Genomic DNA, 18843 nt, shown 5'->3' with positions numbered 1-18843 from the left:
CTAACTGCTTCCTGCTGAACTGGGGCATAGGAGGGGTTGTGCAGCTGAGATTTCCTTGGGAGGGGTGCCTTCGATGTCATTAACACCAGAGCATGGGCTGGGAGACCGGTCCGGGGGTCTACGGTGGATCTTAGTCATGGACTGCATCTGGGGCTCCATTTGATGAACCATTTGTAGTTTTACAGTTTCAATTCACCTTGGAGGTCCCTTCGTGGTCGCCAAAGTGTTACCGGGGGTCCTTGCTCCCAGAGCTCCCAAGAAGGTGGTGGGCGACTTCCAAAATGGCGGCAGGCCACTTCCAAGATGGTGGCAAGCCCCGTGTTCTCTGACCTGGGGTTGTTGGCCTCACGGATTCCAAGGAATGGAATCTTGGGCCATGCAGTGAGTGTTACAGCTCTATTAGAAGTCATGGGTCACAGAAAAGAACCGTGGAACCCAGTGACTAGTGTTCAGCTCAATTAGGACGAACCCAGGCACTTAGCCGTGCAGGAACAATGGCAAGCCTTTAGCCTGATCAGGAGCGGCAATGGGCGCCTCACTGGATCAGGAGCACAGCGGACACCCTGCCAGATTCAGAGGGATGGGAGTCAGCAGCGGGTCTGTGACGGTGGCAAACAGCAGTGGTGGACGGCGAGCAAAAGCTCAGCTCGAGCCTTAACAAACATGGACCAGAAGAGTGCAGTTGCAAGATTTAAGACAGTGAAATAAAGTGAAAACAGAGCTCCCATTCAAGGAGGGACCCAAAGGGGGTTGCCTTGAGTTCTAGAATTTTAACATTTTATTCATTTTATAATTATTTTAATAAAGGTAAATAGTAATTTAGGTTGTTTGTGTATGAAAAATTCAGATTTCTCAGCAGAGTAGATTAAAAAGATCTTTCAGAATTGAATATGTTAAATGTTTTAAACATTTTCAAAGAAACAGATGTGTCTTACCTGTCTTAACTTCACAATGACCGTATTGCGTTTTATGAAGACAAAACTCGTGAGCATATCCACATCATAGAATGGCAGCCCATTACTACTATCAGTCACCTTGTTAACTGTGTACACAAAACCCCATGTTGAGTTCAGTGTGCTTTTAATTTGATACTGCAATTAAACATTTAAGATTGCATTAAATTATTAACACATTTTTCTCATTTTACCAGACCAAAGGCAATAGTTGAAACACCAAAAGTTGCTACTTGTGCAGTCTTGTCATCCTTACATATTGAACTGAAAGTTGATTGAAAATAAAATTGGTATTTACAAAAATCTCTTAATTATATAAAAAGTTATCTAGGCCAGGCACGGTGGCCCATGCCTGTAATCCCAGCACTTTGGGAGGCCGAGGAAAGTGGATCACAAGGTCAGGAGTTCAAGATCAGCCTGGCCAAGATGGTAAAACTCTGTCTCTACTAAAAATACAAAAAATTAGCCAGGCGTGGTGGCAGGCGCCAGTAATCCCAGCTACTCGGGAGGCTGAGGCAGAGAATTGCTTGAACCCAGGAGGCAGAGGTTGCAGTGAGCTGAGATCATGCCACTGTACTCCAGCCTGGGTGACGGAGCAAGGCTCTGTCTCAAAAAAAAAAAAAAAAAAGGTGAACTAAAATGATAGACTACATCCCAAAAATGATTCTAAAGTGACTGGCATGATTCATAATCTCTGAATTTTATATGTAAATCTTTTTTGATATAAACAATGTTATTAATTTTCATGACAACTTAAGAAATAGACACTACTGTTATAATTGCTACTTTATAGATAGGGAATATGATACCCAGACAGGTTAATTTCTTTTTGCTTTTCTCATTTTAATTTAATTCATCAAAGCAAACCTAGATAATTTAGGGAAGGTTTGTGGCACAACTGCACCTAAAACACCAACACGGTGTATTCATTTTTCATTTTATTTCATCCTCTTGTGCCAAATATCAAAACAAGGAACTGCATGAAGTCTCACATACTTCTGACCATCAACAGAACACTGAAAGCACCCATAAACTGTCTCCCTTTTGAAGTTCCCCATTCCACAGAGTATGCAAGGCCCTTTGGGAATGTTGTGATTAAGTAAGTTAACTCGGATATGGGTCCCTTCTTTGAGTGAAATATCAGTCATGCTGAGAGGTTTGTCATAGTAGTCAGAAAAAAGATCATCCAAGTAAAGCTGTGAACGAGAAATGACATCCATCACTCTTCTATCTAAAAGGACAAAAACAGAAAAGAAATGTGTTAGAAGTGAAAATGAAAAATACATAATGCAAACAGCATTAATAAATATGTGAATCCACTAGTCATGAAATAATTTGGCTTTTTTTTTTTTTTTTTTTTTTTTGAGACAGGGTCTGGCTCTGTCACCCAAGCTGGAGGGCAGTGGCACAATCTCCACTTACTACAACCTCCGCCTCCCACGCTCAAGTGATCCTCCTACCTCAGCCTCTCAAGTAGCTGGGACTACAGGTGCACACCACTGCAACCAACTAATTTTTTTTCTTTTGTATTCTTTGTACAGATGGGGTTTTCTCACATTGCCCAAGTGTTTCAAACTTCTGAGTGCTAGCAATCTGCCTGCCCTGGCCTCCCAAAGTGCTGGGATTATAGGCATGAGCCACCATACCAGCCAGGCTTTTAAATTTAAATTTTTCCTTAACAGATGAGATTACTGAATAGAAAACCTCATGTGTTAAGCCAGGAAAGAAAAAAAAAAGACATTCACAGTACTCTTCAATAAACATACTTCTTTCAAATAGGATATTTCTCAACCTGTACAGCAGTGCAAATGTTGCCGTTTCTTCCCTTTCAAATCCTCCTTTTGACACTGAAGTGACACAAAGGTCTACAAAAAAAATTGTTAGAAGATGTTATAACTTGAATAATTCATATTTTATTGTTTGATGGGGTGATGAATTCTAGTACAAATCATTCATTGTATTGTTTTTAAAAGTTGACTTTTACATACTTTTGGAAAAGGTAACATTCACATGGTACAAAATTCATACAGAAAGGAGATACAGTGACAAATAGGTCTCTGGCCCACCCTGTATCCAGCCACAGTCTTCTACCTCAGGGGCTTAGGGGCACCCGTGGTTTAAGTTTCTTATGTTTGCTTCCAGAAATACTCCATATATTTTATAAGCATAAAGAAAGATGCATATATACATGTATGTGTATAAAATTATTTATGCCCAAATAGTTACATATTATACTCAGCTCTTGAAAAATATCTATTAAAAGTATTATATTCTTATTGGCTTCATAGTATTCTCTTGCAAGGATGCACCATTATTTAGTCTCCTTAATGTTGTTTCCAATCTCTTGTTATTGAGGACTGAATATACTTGCACTCATATCATTTCATATATGTGTAAATATATCTGTAGGATAAATTCCTAGAAGTGGAAGTCCAAATTATATATATATTTTAAATTCTTGTGGATATATCAGTCCATTTACATTCCTCCCAACCATCAATAAAACTGTAAAAACCTAAAGTTATCCAATTAGAATTTACTTAATAAGACCTAGTATTTGGAAGCATAATAGGGTGACTACAGTCAAAATAATGTAATTGTACAGTTTTTTCTCCATCTTAGACTGAGAATTTGTACATTTTTAAATAACTAAAAGAGTATAATTGGATTGTTTGTAACACAAAGGATAAATGCTTGAGGGGATGGATACCCCATTTTCCATGATGTGATTATTATGCACTGTATGCCCGTATCAAAATACCTCATGTATCCCATACATAAATATATATATAATCTACTATATAGCCACAAAAATTAAAAATATTTTTTAAAAAGACAATTTACTTAACATGTAGTTTTGTTTTGTTTCTGGACTCCCTATTCCCTCCTCCTACAAAATTGCAGAAATGAACAAGAACAGGTCTAAAAACATTTGTAAATTACCATGGCTAGGGGCTGCCTTTCCTGATCCCTTGGGCTACACCTGGACTTGTTCCAGTTGGCCAACAGACCTTAAAGACCTGTGAAATGTAGAGACCTAAAGTGAGCTGCACTTAGGTATTATACAAGGTGACAATTTTGGAGGAAGTATTTTCACTTTTTAAAGTTATTTTTTAGGAAGAGTGCAAGGGGAAGCTGGGTCTATGATAAGTAAAACTGAAGTAAGAAAAGCTGTCTTTAGAGGCCCTGGTTTGGGCATCCTAACACTTCAGGCATCCTACTATCTACCTACTCCTCTGTTTGCCACCATCAAAAACTACCTATAAGAAGGTCATTTATTATCTCCCCATGTAAGCTAAGGAATACTTTGTCAGTAGATGGCATTTTAGCTCTTATTTATAATTTTAAATGGGGTAGTGGAGAGTTTACAACCTTCACCAAGAAGCAGAAAAGTGGAATGGGGAAGCAGCGAACGGAGGGTCTTTCTCAGCTATTTTGCCAAAGCATAAGATTGACAGTGCTGAGAGCATCTTCTATAATTGTTAGACACGAGAAATGAGAGAAAAGAGAGAGAGAGAGCACATGCCCTAATGAATGCTCCTTAAAAATATAATCATTTGTATTTCATGCAGACCCTTAACTCACCAAAGGCACCATCCAGGTATATGAAGAGTTCAAAAACACTGAAAGCTATGGTTGTATGTGCTGGGAAAACAATAGCTTTGTCCCTTCCCTTGGGATTCTGTTCATCCATAAAGTGAAACTATATTGAATAAATAAATAACATAATTAAGGATCATAACATGTAAGGATAGCTTTTTGGAGAAATGAAACATTTCCTATAATCCTACCAAAAACAAAACAAAAAATTCCCAAGTAAAGGATTATTCTGCTTGAATTAAACCATTTTTTATAGCAGAGATCCAATTGGTCCAACAGAAACTCCTGGTCTATATTAGGAAATACCTCTGCACTTTTCACTTACTTTGGTATTACAGCCCATGATTAGTGCTACCACAACCATAATGCTCTGGAGCAGAAGCCTTTTTTTTTTTTTTAACAGGAAATCTTAGAAAGCAGTGCCAGAGTTAAAGTTTTCAGCCTAGCCTGTCTACCATTCCAAAGCCCTCCAGAGCTTTTAGTAGCTTTCTAAAGCAATCGCTAACAATCAAGTAAATGTTTCAGTTTGTGCCTCAAAAATGATCCAATGTTAATCAGAATTTGACAGGCAGCTGAATATGCGAAAATAACTTTTATTTGCAAAGACTTGAAAAGATTATCCTTGAACCCTATCTTTCTAACAATTGGTTTTAATCCAATCAAGTCATTATTAGGTGTCACTGAATGACAAAGATAAACAATATCATAATTGAGCTGAAAATTAAACACAGATACTTTTCCAATTTTTTTTTCAGAGACAGGGTCTCTCTCTGTCACCCAGGCTGGAGAGCAGTGGCACAATCATAGCCTACTGTAACCTTGAACTCCTGGCCACTCCTGCATCCTAAGGTGTCCCCGCCAAGTCCTGAGCTCGAACCTGCAAACTGCTGGTTGGACGCGAAGCCCATGGTCGTCAGCTGAGCCCGTGGCCCCGGGCCCCTAGTTGGATGGCTGCTGGCCCCAGAGAAGTCCGAAGGCAAATGGGTGGTTTGGAGAAGAGACTGCTACATCTTCCCCAGCACAAAAGCACGGCTTTTCAAAGCCTCCCAAATTCTAAAAGACAATGACCCAAACCCCGCAGGCAGCCCCCTGCCTCAGCCTTCCGAGTAGCTGGGACTATAGGCATGTGCCACCACAACCAGCTAATTCTTTTATTTTTTGTAGAGACAAGGTCTCATTATTTTGCTCAAGTTGGTCTTGAACTCCTGGTCCCAAGCTGTCTTCCTATCTCAGTCTTCCTAAGCACTGGGATTACAGGCATGATCCACTGCACCTTGCCGCTAATATTTTTTAAAGGATTTAACTAACCTTGAATAAAGCATGTATGGCCATTGATAATATTAACTTTGAAAAACTATTTGAATATAAAAATATAAATTCAGGCCAGGCGCGGTGGCTCACACCTGTAATCCCAGCATTTTGGGAGGCCGAGGCTAGCGGATCACGAGGTCAGGAGATCGAAACCATCCTGGATAACACTGCCGGGCGTGGTGGCAGGTGCCTGTAGTCCCAGCTACTCGGGAGGCTGAGGCAGAAGAATGGCATGAACCCGGGAGGCGGAGTTTGCAGTGAGCCAAGATCGCGCCACTGCACTCCAGCCTCGGGGACAGAGCGAGACTCCGTCTCAAAAAAAAAATCTATAAATTCAGCTTTAAAAAATTCAAAGTGTAAAAACTCTATCACTTAAATCAATTCAACTTAAGCACTCAATTTTTATTCTTAAAACAGCACTTAAATAGTAATATGAGGGACTCCAGTATGCATGTAATTTCACAAGGATTACTGTTTTTGCATTATGTTACACATTTTTTTTTTGGTTGGGGTTTTTGTTTTGTTTTGTTTTTTTGAGACGGAGTCTCACTCTGCCACCCAGGTTAGAGTGCAATGGCACAATCTCGGCTCACTGCAACCTCCACCTCCCAGGTTCAAGTGATTCTTGTGCCTCAGCTTCCTGAGTGGCTTGGGATTACAGGGGTGTACCACCACACCTGGCTAATTTTTGTATTTTCAGTAGAGATGGGGTTTCTCTGTGTTGCCCAACTTGATCTCCAACTCCTGACTGCAAGTGATCCGCCCACCTCGGCCTCCCAAAATGCTAGGATTACAGGCGTGAGCCACTGTGCCCAGTCAAAAACTGTATCACTTAAAAATAAAATCAATTCAACTCACTCAATTTTTATTCTTAAAACAACACTTAAATAGTAACTTGAGGGACTCCAGTATGCACGTAATTTCACAAGGATTACTGTTTTTGCATTATATTACACATGTTTAGAATCCCAAGATTTGTTTTTTTTTTTCATATTCTAGAACAGACATTGCTGTGCAAAATCCTATACAACTGCAGCTCTTTCATCAGAACATTTCACAAAATACACAAGCCTGACTAGAAATTCAATACTTAAAAAAATTCCCATGGCAACACTTTAGTTAGTAAGAGAACCCAACAAGTGTGGTTTACCCGCATTGCTTCCCCTCGAATTCCAGCATGCACAGACAGTGAGCACTGTCGTGTGGTTCGGATGCTCTCCATGACCACACACAATACTGCCTTTCTGCTGCTCCTTGACTGACGTATCAAGCTGTGGTCAAAGTTAATTTTTCTAAAATAAAGAAGATACATTCACAAGACTCTATAACATCTAATTACACATAATCAAATACATTTTTTGCTATCATGTGTTATTCATTCATAGTTCACCTAATAGTAAATCAAGGCAATCCTAATAGTCAGAAAATACACCCAAAAGAAATGTAATAATTTGTCTCTCCTCTCTATTTTCTTAAAACATGCTTATGCAGAATGTTTCACTCTGTCTGTTGAAAGTCTGTTGAAGGGGACTCTATTTGTTGCAGACAGATTGCTGTATTATTTAAATCTAATAATTAAGCAAATGTGTGTAGAGCCAAAGTAATTTTGTGGAACAATTAAAAGTTTTGTTTAAGCCAAGTGGTTTTTTTTTTTTTTTAGCTGGGCAAATCATTTTAATGTGTAACAGTAGGCCAACTGGGGAGGACAAGACCCCAAGCCCCAGCCTTTCTCCTGATGCCCTGGGACCTGTGTGCCTGGGCCAGTCCCATGCCTGCCCCAAGCCCTGAGGCCCACAAGTCCCAGAGAAGAGTGGGAAAGAAAGTTGGGTGGTTGCAGCTCAGCCCCAAGAGTTCAGGGAGGGAAAAACAGGGGCTAGTTGAATTTAGCCTTGGAAAAATCCATCTCCGGATGCTGATCCATGAACTTCTTCAGAATCTCCTGTTTCTTCTGTTCGTCTGAGGTTGGCAGCCCCATGGACTTCTGTTACTGGTCATAGATTGTCTTTTCCACCATGATGTGAGTCTCACTGTCCAGGTCTGACAGCTTGGAATTCTCAGGGTTAATCTTCTTGGTATTGATCTCAGGGTCACTGGACACCAAGCGGCTCCACCACTCCATCTTCTTGATCTTCTCCAGATGCACAGTCACCACCTTGCCGTCCTCAATGAGCCACGAGCTCTCCTCCGCCTTCACTTCGTTGTAGAGCTCCCCATCGATGATCGCTGGCTGCCCCTTGAGCCCCACCTGGAGGTGCCGCCGTTGGATGCCACCACCACGTCCTTCCCTTTCAGCTGGAAGTCCACACAGAAAGGGACCGCCAGGTCCAGCTCCGACAGGGTCTTGGTCCAGCGGTAATCAGGCAGGTCTGCCCTGTTGCCTAGGTTGGGCTTCAGTTTTCCTTTGTCCTTCTCATCTTCCTCCTCCTCATCTTCCTCAGTCTTCTGCTTCCCTGGGGAGTCAAGGCTGCCATTCTTGATCTGGGCCTCATGATTCTCTGCATCCTATTTCTGGTCAATCTCTAGCTGCAGCCTCTCTGCCTCTTCATCAGTTAGCTCCTTGATCTGGGGCCCTGAGGTCTCTGACTTCAGCCAAGTGATTTTTGATATCTATCCTTATTCAAAGTTTGGATATACTACCAATGTATTTCAAACATATCTAGCAAATTACACTAGTAAAATACAACCTCAATGTTTTAAGCATTCTTTGTAATGAAGTTTATATACCTAAAGTATTTAATGAAAACACTGAAATATATTAGGATTATTATACTGACCGTGTAGTAATTTCTTTGAGTAATGTTGATACTTCCACTTCATGTTTGGTTACTATACCAAATGAAGCTTTCACTGCAATGGAATCTGATCCAGCAACGTTAATCCCAACGTCATTTACAATATGGTTACCTCGCCTTCCATAGAGTGAAACATCTGATTCATCTTCATAATTCAGTAATTGATAAGATGAAATACCTTTATAAGAAGAAACTCAGTATTTTTTAAACATCTTTATCTTATGTAGATTATATATAGTAACATGTTAAATTAACAATTGAAGACTCAAATACCCAAATGTTAGAGAAAGGCAACATGACTCACCAAGACTTAAAGTAGTAATTCAATTAATCTTACAACAAAAAGAAACACATAGCCAGAATTCTTAAAAGGAACTCAAATTTTCTATTCAGCCAACAGAACTTCTTAAGCATCAAGATCCACCGGGCAATTAAAAGAAAAAATAAGCGTTTATAAGTAGTAACTCATCAAAATATCAGCTTATTATATAACCTACCCTTCAATACATTTCAGTTTACCAATTGTAATAATTGAATTGTAAAAAATAAATACAAATTATTTTCATCTCATTTGACCATGTAACATAGGTAAGCCCAAATAATATCCCATTTTATAGATGAAGAAATATGTCATATTCTAAGTTGATTTGGTTAAAACAATTTATAAAATAATTGATAGATTTGAAAATTATTTGACCAATAAGAGATTTGATATTATACAAACTTTTGGCATTGTTAATCTTAATAATGTTATTACACTAACATCATAATAAAAGTTGCTTTAATCATTGAAAATGTGTATTACTAACATAAGTAGCATATATGACCTATGTTTAGGTTGCCAATAATACAGATGAATGAGTTGGCACTCCCAAACATTTAAACTTACCAGCTGAAATTTCTCTGTCTCCTAGGAGAATATCTTTCAGTGTAAAAGGTGTTGAAGTAAATTTATATCTAGGAAACAGAAAGCATCGCTTCTTTTTTACCACCAGACTTAGAGGTTGATATTTGTCAGCTTCACTGAGGCTTGGAACAGGAACTAATCTCCCTCCATCTCCAACTTGCTTGACAAAGCTCTTGGTAGCAGCAGCAAACATATTAAAATCAAAACGTCATCAACTGCAACCCCCAGATAAATCCATTTTTAAAGAGGAAAATCAGGCACAAAATTAAGCATTGCTTGTTTTTAAATATAATTATACATCTTAAAAATACAAAGCATGGTTTCACCAAGTAGTTTACCACTGTATAATTCCCTGCCTCTGCTCATGTGCTCAGGTAATGAATTATAGATCAACGGTGTAAAATGATATGCTAAGAGCATGTTTAACTTGGAATGGCAGGCTATAGCACTAAAATATACACAGAAAACTAATAACGTAAAAATATGACCAATGTCTATGATAAGGATCACAGTAGATAGTGATTTGCCACTGGCAATGGGCCAATTTTAAGGGAAGCATATAGTGCTGTGGGAAGCAATGCAATTTAGGCACTAACGATAGTCCCGGATACAATCTACAGTGGACCTAGTCCAAAGGGAATTCCTTCACAAGTCCACCACCGGAATTTTGGCAACACCAAAGTGCTGTTTTGAATCCTCATGGCATACAGCTCATTGATTGAGCATTTCATTCATTTTCCATCTTATATGCTTACAAAACTGTGTTTAATATTAAATATAAATTCACAGATATAAACAATTATATGCAAATCTTTATTTAAAAAATAAAGCCACATTACATATAAGTAACTATATAAACTATTACCTAGTGGTTTCTTACTCTGAAGTTGGGCACACAGACTCTCTCTCTTTGAAATGGAGTCCTGCTGCATCTTTTTGTTTCATTATTATCCCAGCTACTTAACCTTTAACAAGAGCTATATAAAGTTCTGGCCTGTTTTTAAGTAATTTTGTGGCAAAAAATGAATTTTACCTGAGTGCTGAAATGTTTTGCCATAGGTGTTATGCGGAGTTCATATATTGTGAAATACTGACTATGTAGCCCTTCCAATAAGATATCCATTAAAACAGTGATGGATAGTAATCTATATACATACATATATAGACGGAGAGGAAGAGAGAATAGGCTCTAATTAAAGCATCAGATGATATAATTTGATTAGATTCTGAACATCTTTCACTTGTTTCAAGCATCCAGGGCTTACATGCTAACAAAACAACAAATCGCTTTTTTTTTTTTTTTTTTTTTTGAGAGGGAGTCTGACTCTGTCGCCCAGGCTGGAGTGCAGTGGCGCGATCTCGGCTCACTGCAACATTTGCCTCCCGGGTTCAAGCGATTCTCCTGCTTTAGCCTCCCGAGTAGCTGGGATTACAGGCGCATGCCACCACGCCCGGCTAATTTTTGTATTTTTAGTAGAGACAGGGTTTCACCATGTTGGCCAGGCTGGTCTCGAACTGCTTACTTCAGGCGATCCGCCAGCCTCGGCCTCCTAAAGTGCTGGGATTACAGGCGTGAGCCACCGCGCCCGCCCATAAATCACTTTTAATAATATCCTTTCGTACGAATAGCATTGTGCAAGCAATCTTCCATAACACCGAGTAAGCACAGGGGAGCATTTCTGCTAGTGCCTAGCAAGCCCCTGGAGAAGCGACACGTCATCTAATGGCCCACCAAAGGTGCTGCATCCCAGGCAAACGCCATTACAACCGACTACCCAGGTCCCCGGAAAGGCCTTCGTTTACTCCTAACGTGTTTTGCTGGGATGCACTGACCCAGCGTTCCATCTCGCGACGAAAGCCCAGAAGACAAAGGAGCCCGCCCGGCGGGAGAGGAGCGGGTGTTTGGACGTCCCCGCGTGTTCCTAAACACAGGGCTCGGGGACCCGAAGAGCGCACCGCAGCCCCCTGGAGCGTATATATCCGGGGTCTCAAGCTTCAGGACCAGGCCCGGGAGACTCCCTGGAATTCTGCCTTCGTAATTTTAGAATCTTTTTCTTAAAGTGACCCAGCCCCCAATCCGTCCTCCCCACAAAGGCTTAACTTTAGGCCTCAACGACCCTAGACCCACGCCGGACAATCCCTCTAATCCCTCTCTCCCGGCAAGAAACGGCCTCCTGCTAAGGACAAAGAACTGCGGCCTAGGGGCCAGTTACTACAGGCTGGTCAGGGCCGGCAGGGGCGGGCGCGGAGAACCCCCGGGAGCCCAATGCCTGTGCCCACGCGGGAGCGGGGCGGAGCCGGGCGGGAAGGGGGCGGACCCTGGAAGGGACAGGGGCGGAGTTGGGCCGGGACGGAGGCCCGCAGAGGAGCAGCGAGGGGGCGTAGCCGGAGCTACGGCACCAAGGCTCCGCCCCCACCCTGCCTGCCCCCTCGCTGGAGCAACGCAAGCAGGAGGCGGGGGAGTCGGAGGAGGTGGCGGCGCTGGAGCTCCTCCCGGGGACCAGCGACCCGGGGAGCGAGCACGTCGCTCCGCACCGCTCTTCCTCCAGCCGCTGAGCCGTCCCTTCTCGCCATGTCCCAGAGCAGGCACCGCGCCGAGGCCCCGCCGCTGGAGCGCGAGGACAGTGGGACCTTCAGGTCAGCGTGCGGGCAGTCAGGGCCCCAGGGCCGGGAGCGTTGGGCGGCAGGGCCGGGGCGCGGGGAGCCGGCCCTCCAGAGGCATTCTGGGTAAAGCCGTGCCCGGCGCCCACGCCTCCGCGGCTGTGGGTGCTCGGCCCCGCCCTCTCGGCGGCGAGGGTTGGGGTCTGCGGCCGGGCCCCGCCCCTCTCGTGGTCCCTGGCGGCGCGCGGGGCGGGCGGAGGTGACGCTCGGTCGGCGCGCCCGGGAAGGGATCGTCAGGTTTTCCCTGAGAGGCTGCGGCGCTGCTGCCAGCCCTGTTCTGTTGAGAATCTCTCCTACCCGCATTCAAGTGCTCTCTCTAAAGACCTCGCTCACCCCGCCTGCTCCTGCGGAGTGACTGCCGCAGCGGGGCCGGAAGACAGGTGCGCCCCAGCCTCGCCAGCTCTGGCCCTGGCCTCCGGGGAACTCGGCGCCTCCCTCGTCACCGTCGGTGGCGGTTAAAACTGGCCTCTACGCTTCTGCTTCAATCTCCAATTTGGCATGCAAAGCACACCTTTTTGTGGTTTTTGCAGTTTGGGGAAGATGATAACAGCTAAGCCAGGGAAAACACCGATTCAGGTATTACACGAATACGGCATGAAGACCAAGAACATCCCAGTTTATGAATGTGAAAGATCTGATGTGCAAATACACGTGCCCACTTTCACCTTCAGAGTAACCGTTGGTGACATAACCTGCACAGGTCTGTATACACAGTTAACCTGGATGACCGAGTGGGTTGGCAGTCAATACTTGGTGTTGCTTTTCAGTTCGGAAAAGTTCTCTTTTTGCCAGACAGCTGTGAGGAACAGGCTCTGAAACTGAGACCTCTCATCTCAGGTCGTTAGGGCTTTTCAGCTGCATCTGATTCTCTTCCTAATTTTCTCTTCCCCACATACCAAGGAAGCTTAGAAACTAAAAAGTTACCCAGCCGGATGGCTGGATCCTGCATGGCTCTTCTCATACCCTAGGATCCTCCTAGGGTTCTTCTTAGAATTAGAGGGAAGCAGGAAAGGTTCTTGGAGCAGTCATAGCTGGGTCAGTAGGTACTGTGAAGTTTCATAGATTATAGCGGATGCCAGGAGGCATGACCCCAGAATTTTCTGAGCGTCTCTCCTCTCTGTATGGACTCATTTGGCACTTTAGGTCCATTGTGCTACTTTTGATTCTGTATCCAAACAAAATGAGGAAGGGGAGAAGGTCCTCATATATTACATAATAACTTCTAGTTTTTGAAACTGAACAGATATTTTGTATATTATCCACTTTTTAAACAAGAAGAAACAGGTTCAGAGAGATTATAAGTAACATGCGTATAGCAATGAAGTCACAAAGCAATGAAATTTTAAAGTTCATGCTTTCTTTTGGTCTGTGAGCTTGAGCAAATGATAACTAAAGTTGCTCATTTGTAAATGTGGACATTATTTTTCTTATGTATCTATTTAATTGCAAACACAGAAAACATTGGATGCTAAATTTAATTTGGAAGAATGCCAAGAAAAAAATTTAGTAGGAAGGCTCAAGTTCTACCATCTGGAAAATCTGAAGACAGCATTTGTTTGTGTCCCTGGAAGTTTGGAGTCTTTTATTTTAATTGATGCCACTTTAAGAAAAGTTTAAAACTTTTTGTGTGAGGCAGTTAGATTGTAGGTGCTGGCCGGAAGGGTCCCCATGGGAACCATAGAGTCAACACTGCATTACTTACTTTAGCTAGTCTATTTCTAGATAGGAAGAATTCAAGAAAAGGGAGGGTTTTTCCCTCTCAATGTGTTTTAGACCCCAAATTAACAACCTATGGCAACCGTTCTGCCTACGCCCTCTTCTCACACTACCATGGCTTCCTGTGCAAGCTTATCTGCCTCCATGGCTTCTGATACTGTCTAAAGACTAATATTCTGAAATGTCTGTCTACATCCCAAGCCCAGTTACAGAATAGTGTATCAGTCTGTGCTTGCTGAGCATCTTTGCCTGGATGACACAGAGGCCCCTCAAGCCTCTCATTGTCCCAAACTGAATCCATCTTTTCCCTCAAACCCATTCTTCTTGCATTCCCTTTCTATGTAAAGGCTCCACAATCACCTAGTTCAGTAGAAATGTAGGCTTTTGTCTTCCTAACTACTTCCCGTCTTTCTCCCTCTTGTCCAGTCTGTTATTAAACTCTATCCATTGGCGTTTAATAATCCACTAACTATCCATTGAATCTGTCGGCTTCTCTCTTCTGGCCATTGCTACTGCCTAGGCCACCATCATCTCTCACTTGGATTGTAGCTGCAGTCTTGTAGCTACACGTTTACCTTCTAGTCTTGTGATGTCCTTTTGTCACATTACAACCAGTGTTCATTCTTTTTTTTTTGAGACAGGGTCTCACTCTGTCACCCAGGCTAGAGTGCAGTGGCATGATCTTGGCTCACTGCAACCTCCGCTACAGCCTGCACTTAGGCTTGTTGTAACATATCCCATTCCATACTTCAGGTGCCTATTAACAGACAAAAATCCCACACTACTCTGTTGGCTCTTGAGGGCAGGGACCCTGTATGCTATATCCCTAATACCTGTGTTAGCAGATAAATATATGGTTTCTGTGTCTTCTTACACTTGAGGGCCACACTTGAAGGCCACACTTGAAACTTATTCCATGAGGGTATGGGAGTTTGAACTTAAAAGGAAAAAGATGGAATTTATCATTTGCCATTGTGATTGCTTACTGAAATTAGACATCAGTCTTATCCCCAGTCCCAACTTAGCTACCCATGCAGAAGATACAGACCGTCCAGAAGATACATAACAAGCTGTCACCTTATTCCATAAAACTCTTTCCTGTTGTACCCAACACATAATCATGACTGCTCAGCCTAGCAAAGCAGTTTGATACGTTATAGGACAGGCTGTCAGAATAAAATTATGCACATTTTGCTATCAAACAATTCTGCTGTAAATGGTTCCTTTAAAAGAAACTTCTTGCTGCAGAAGAATTTCCCCTCCAGGAATAAAGGAAGAGTAAAATACTAATCTGCATTTCTTCAGAGGTGTGACACGGTCTACTTTATTACCATGTTATATAATAAACATATATAATGTAGAAATAAGGATTTTTATGCAGGTATGCATAGAATTATATAGAACTTTAAAAAGTTATTTTTTAAAATTTTTTCACATGGTGAATATTTTATTACAGTATATAACCATGTAGTATATAACATGTACATATTTTTATGTACAGTATATAACGTACATATTTTTATTACCTAGTATGTGTATGTAAAATCTATAGTGACTTTGTTTTGTGTATTGAAAACATCTTTGTAAGCTGCACATTTTTGTGGGAGATAAAGACTTCTTTTTTTAAATCTTAATTCAGGTGAAGGTACAAGTAAGAAGCTGGCGAAACATAGAGCTGCAGAGGCTGCCATAAACATTTTGAAAGCCAATGCAAGTATTTGGTGAGCTAAATTTCTTTGTATTCAGCAGCTCAAAAATATCATGGCTGAGGTAAGATTAAAAATTTGAACATGCTTACAAAAGCAACAAAGTGAACAGTTGTTAGCATCCTACCTCTCAAATTCTATTTCCTTATGAAAACTTATCATCCATTAAAGAAAACTTTATCCAATCAAATCCAGCAATTAGCTATTAAATGAAGGTGCTCATGAACTAGGCTTTACTGTTTTTTTTTTTTTAATGGGATACAACAGTAGAAAATCAGTGCTTCTTGCAAATATTAATATTAACATTTTGTATTTAGACTTTGATTATTTCTACATTGAAGAAAACAAAGTGTGAGATGGAGAAAGATCCACTAAAAGTACTCTTTTGGGAATTCTAATTTTGAAGAAGCAGGCAGAGGTTTTCTTTTATTATATAATGTATACCAAAAGAAGAGAATGTTAAGTGGGATATTAATTCTTGACATATCTTTCTAAAGTAAGATTTTTTTTTTTTTTTTTTTTTTTTTGAGACGGAGTCTCGCTCTGTCGCCCAGTCTGGAGTGCAGTGGCGGGATCTCGGCTCACTGCAAGCTCCGCCTCCCGGGTTCACGCCATTCTCCTGCCTCAGCCTCCCAAGTAGCTGGGACTACAGGCGCCCGCCACTACGCCCAGCTAATTTTTTGTATTTTTAGTAGAGACGGGGTTTCACCGTTTTAGCCGGGATGGTCTCGATCTCCTGACCTCGTGATCCGCCAGCCTCGGCCTCCCAAAGTGCTGGGATAGATTTTTTACTACTTTAGGTGTTTCTAGATAGAATATTGGTCCTGGAGCATCTCACATATTAAAGTAGTGTCCACTGGGTGCACTCTGGAGCTTGGCATGCTTTCAAGTTCTTCTTGTGCATACACTTACATATGCCTGAAGTACGATCTGTGTAATCAGCTTATAGTTGACAGTAGAGACCCAGGGAATTTGGGATGGGTTTTTTGTTCCCTAGTCATAGAAAGGCTTTTGGATTAGGGGTGTAGTTAGGTTCTCATGTAGTATTCCTCTCTTTTTGTAAATCATTCTAAACCGTTTGGGTAGTTTAGAACTAACCAGTGACATGGCAACCCTCTAGATAAGCAGCTGCCCAAGACAAGCCTTGCATTTCACAAGATGATGCTTGATTCTCTAGGGTCATGCATTATAATTGATCTATGCCAGGCTGGGCGGGGTGGCTCACGCCTGTAATCCCAGCACTTTGGGAGGCTGAGGTGGGTGGATCACTTGAGGCCAGGAGTTCAAGACCAGCCTGGCCAACATGGCAAAACCCTGTCTCTACTAAAAATACAAAAATTAGCCAGGCATGGTGGCAGGCGCCTGTAATCCCAGCTACTTGGGTGGCTGAGGCACAAAAATCGCTTGAACCCGGGAGGCGGAGATTGCAGTAAGCTAAGATTGTGCCCCTGCACTCCAGCCTGTGAAACCCTGCCTCAAAGAAAAACAAGGCCAGGCATGGTGGCTCACACCTGTAATCCCAGCACTTTGGGAGGCCAAGGTGGGCAGATCACTTGAGTCAGGAGTTCGAGACCAGCCTGGCCAACATGGTGAAACCTCGTCTCTACTAAAAATACAAAAAATTAGCCGAGTGTGGTGGCACGCTCCTGTAATCCCAGCTGCTTGGGAGGCTGAGACACGAGAATTCCTTGGACCCAGTAGGCAGTGGTTGCAGTGAGCTGGGATCGCGCCATTGCACTCCAGCCTGGGCGACAGAGCAAGACTCTGTCTCCAAACAAACAAAAAAAAGACATGCCAAATGACATGGCAGGTATTGGGTTCTCCCCCACTGGTGATGGCCATGCTGTTTCTGTATAGCCTGAAGGTGAACCCAACCATTAAGTACATTTGTAGAAATGAGGGGTATGGAGTGTCCTTTCTGCATCTTGGCACTTTGTCAGCAAAAAAAGCTAACAAACTTTACTATATTTGTGCTTCTTGACAGATAAAATGGGAATTACTAAGCTGTAATCAGGCCTAAAGTGGCCTGACTTAATACAGAGACTTTCTCACTTCTCCATCACAATTATTTGGGTAGCTTCGGCATGCAGCATTGTAAGTGAATACTCATATCTCATCAGCCTATGTAAAGCTTGAAATTCTCACAGTTGGAAAAAAAAAACCTTGAGGAAGTGGCAATAACTAAACCTCATTTGTCATGGAAAAATGACTCCAGTTGCCTAGGTGGTACTAACCTTGAAATGCCGCTTATTCAGTTTTAAGTACTGACCTGCTAAGTAACTAGTAATTCCAGACTCCCTAGAAGAGGTTGTTCTCTTTTTCCCTAATCATAATCCCCACTTGCTAAAACCAAATTCATCTAAGCCATCTATTTTCTGCAGGATACATGTAAATCTTAGAGGATTATCCCAGCACTGAGCAGATGATAGATCAAACAGATCTCTCTTCATAGTTCTGTGGATGAAAAAACAGTATTTACACATAATCTGTATTATTCACATTGCCAGGCTAAATTTTCTGGATCATTGTTACTCTTCTGTTTTTTGTATAGTTGTAACAGAGTATTCTTTAAATACATTTTTATGGCATGCCTATTATGTACAAAACACCACAAAGCTTATGTAGGTAAGTGATACATAGGCCCTACCTCAAGGAGCTTACTGTCTGAACAGGGGAGAGGTGTGGTGAAGGATGGACAAATTATATGTATTTGTAAGAGTATATAATTTATGGTAAAACAATTTCAAGAAAGGATTAAACCATGTGTTATAATGTTTCAAAGAAGGGAGAGATTATAAACCACTGGGGTAAAAGGATAGGCTTCTTGGAGGAAGTGACATTTGAGATATATCTTGGATGACCGATCAGATTCCCATAGAAGAGGTCTGAGAAAAGGGCATTCCATGTAGAAGGAATGACAAGAGCAAAGACATAGAGAGTTAATTAGAAAATGCTTGTCATTTATTTCATAATTCGGGGGAAATTATTTTGTTTTATAACACTTTTAAAAAATATTTAGCTTTGCAGTTCCTGACCCCTTAATGCCTGACCCTTCCAAGCAACCAAAGAACCAGCTTAATCCTATTGGTTCATTACAGGTAAGTTGTACAGTTCTTTGCCTACTGATGAAATATATAATAAGTTTGTAATGTCAGAGGGGCTAACACAAGGAATTAATATTTTAAAGACAAGATAGT

General features: G+C 41.8%; 2 protein-coding genes and 1 pseudogene across 14 annotated transcripts in view, besides 3 other annotated features; 1 reads left to right on the top strand and 2 right to left on the bottom strand.

The window, feature by feature from the left end:
* Positions 1064-11788, bottom strand: PJVK (pejvakin). Of its 8 annotated transcripts, none has more exons than NM_001042702.5 (7): positions 11397-11788; positions 9546-9778; positions 8639-8834; positions 7015-7156; positions 4539-4656; positions 2720-2818; positions 1064-2184 (listed from the first exon to the last, which is right to left on the bottom strand). In NM_001042702.5, the coding sequence occupies exons 2-7, from the start codon at positions 9754-9756 to the stop codon at positions 1892-1894; spliced, it is 1059 nt and encodes a 352-aa protein (NP_001036167.1). In that variant the 5' UTR covers positions 9757-9778; positions 11397-11788; the 3' UTR covers positions 1064-1891. The 8 variants fall into 8 exon arrangements, 7 of the variants coding, with proteins under 7 accessions (NP_001036167.1, NP_001340704.1, NP_001340707.1 ...); NM_001353775.2 differs by having other exon boundaries at positions 9546-9735; positions 11296-11563; NM_001353778.2 differs by lacking the exon at positions 11397-11788 and adding an exon at positions 10429-10822 and having other exon boundaries at positions 9546-9735.
* Positions 7523-8450, bottom strand: NUDCP2 (nuclear distribution C pseudogene 2; annotated as a pseudogene).
* Positions 11719-12498: a silencer, noted in NCBI's record as "silent region_12149". NCBI's record gives its function as "represses an Ori minimal core promoter by ATAC-STARR-seq in GM12878 lymphoblastoid cells {active_cell/tissue: GM12878}" and the evidence as "EXISTENCE:reporter gene assay evidence [ECO:0000049][PMID:35858748]".
* Positions 11719-12835: a biological region, named in NCBI's record as "H3K27ac hESC enhancer GRCh37_chr2:179315058-179315632".
* PRKRA (protein activator of interferon induced protein kinase EIF2AK2) overlaps positions 11991-18843 on the top strand; it is a 19762-nt gene continuing 12909 nt past the window's right edge. For 2 of the 6 annotated variants that reach the window (NM_003690.5, XM_047446138.1), the window contains exons 1-4: positions 11991-12200; positions 12755-12924; positions 15580-15661; positions 18666-18744. In NM_003690.5, coding sequence (NP_003681.1) covers positions 12136-12200; positions 12755-12924; positions 15580-15661; positions 18666-18744 — 396 coding nt within the window. In that variant the 5' untranslated portion in view covers positions 11991-12135. Of the gene's footprint in view, positions 12201-12408; positions 12925-15579; positions 15711-17630; positions 17741-18665; positions 18745-18843 lie in introns of those variants that run through there. The other 4 variants (NM_001316362.2, NM_001139518.1, NM_001139517.1 and 1 more) reach the window with 4 other exon arrangements.
* Positions 12261-12835: an enhancer, noted in NCBI's record as "H3K27ac hESC enhancer chr2:179315058-179315632 (GRCh37/hg19 assembly coordinates)". NCBI's record gives its function as "activates a minimal SCP1, AML or CMV promoter by ChIP-STARR-seq in primed H9 embryonic stem cells {active_cell/tissue: H9 hESC(primed)}" and the evidence as "EXISTENCE:reporter gene assay evidence [ECO:0000049][PMID:30033119]".

The sequence above is a fragment of the Homo sapiens genome, chromosome 2 (assembly GCF_000001405.40).
Source record: "Homo sapiens chromosome 2, GRCh38.p14 Primary Assembly".
Lineage (NCBI taxonomy): Eukaryota > Metazoa > Chordata > Mammalia > Primates > Hominidae > Homo > Homo sapiens.
The sequence above is the reverse complement of the archived record's forward strand: the minus strand, read 5'-3'. Positions and strand labels throughout refer to the sequence as shown.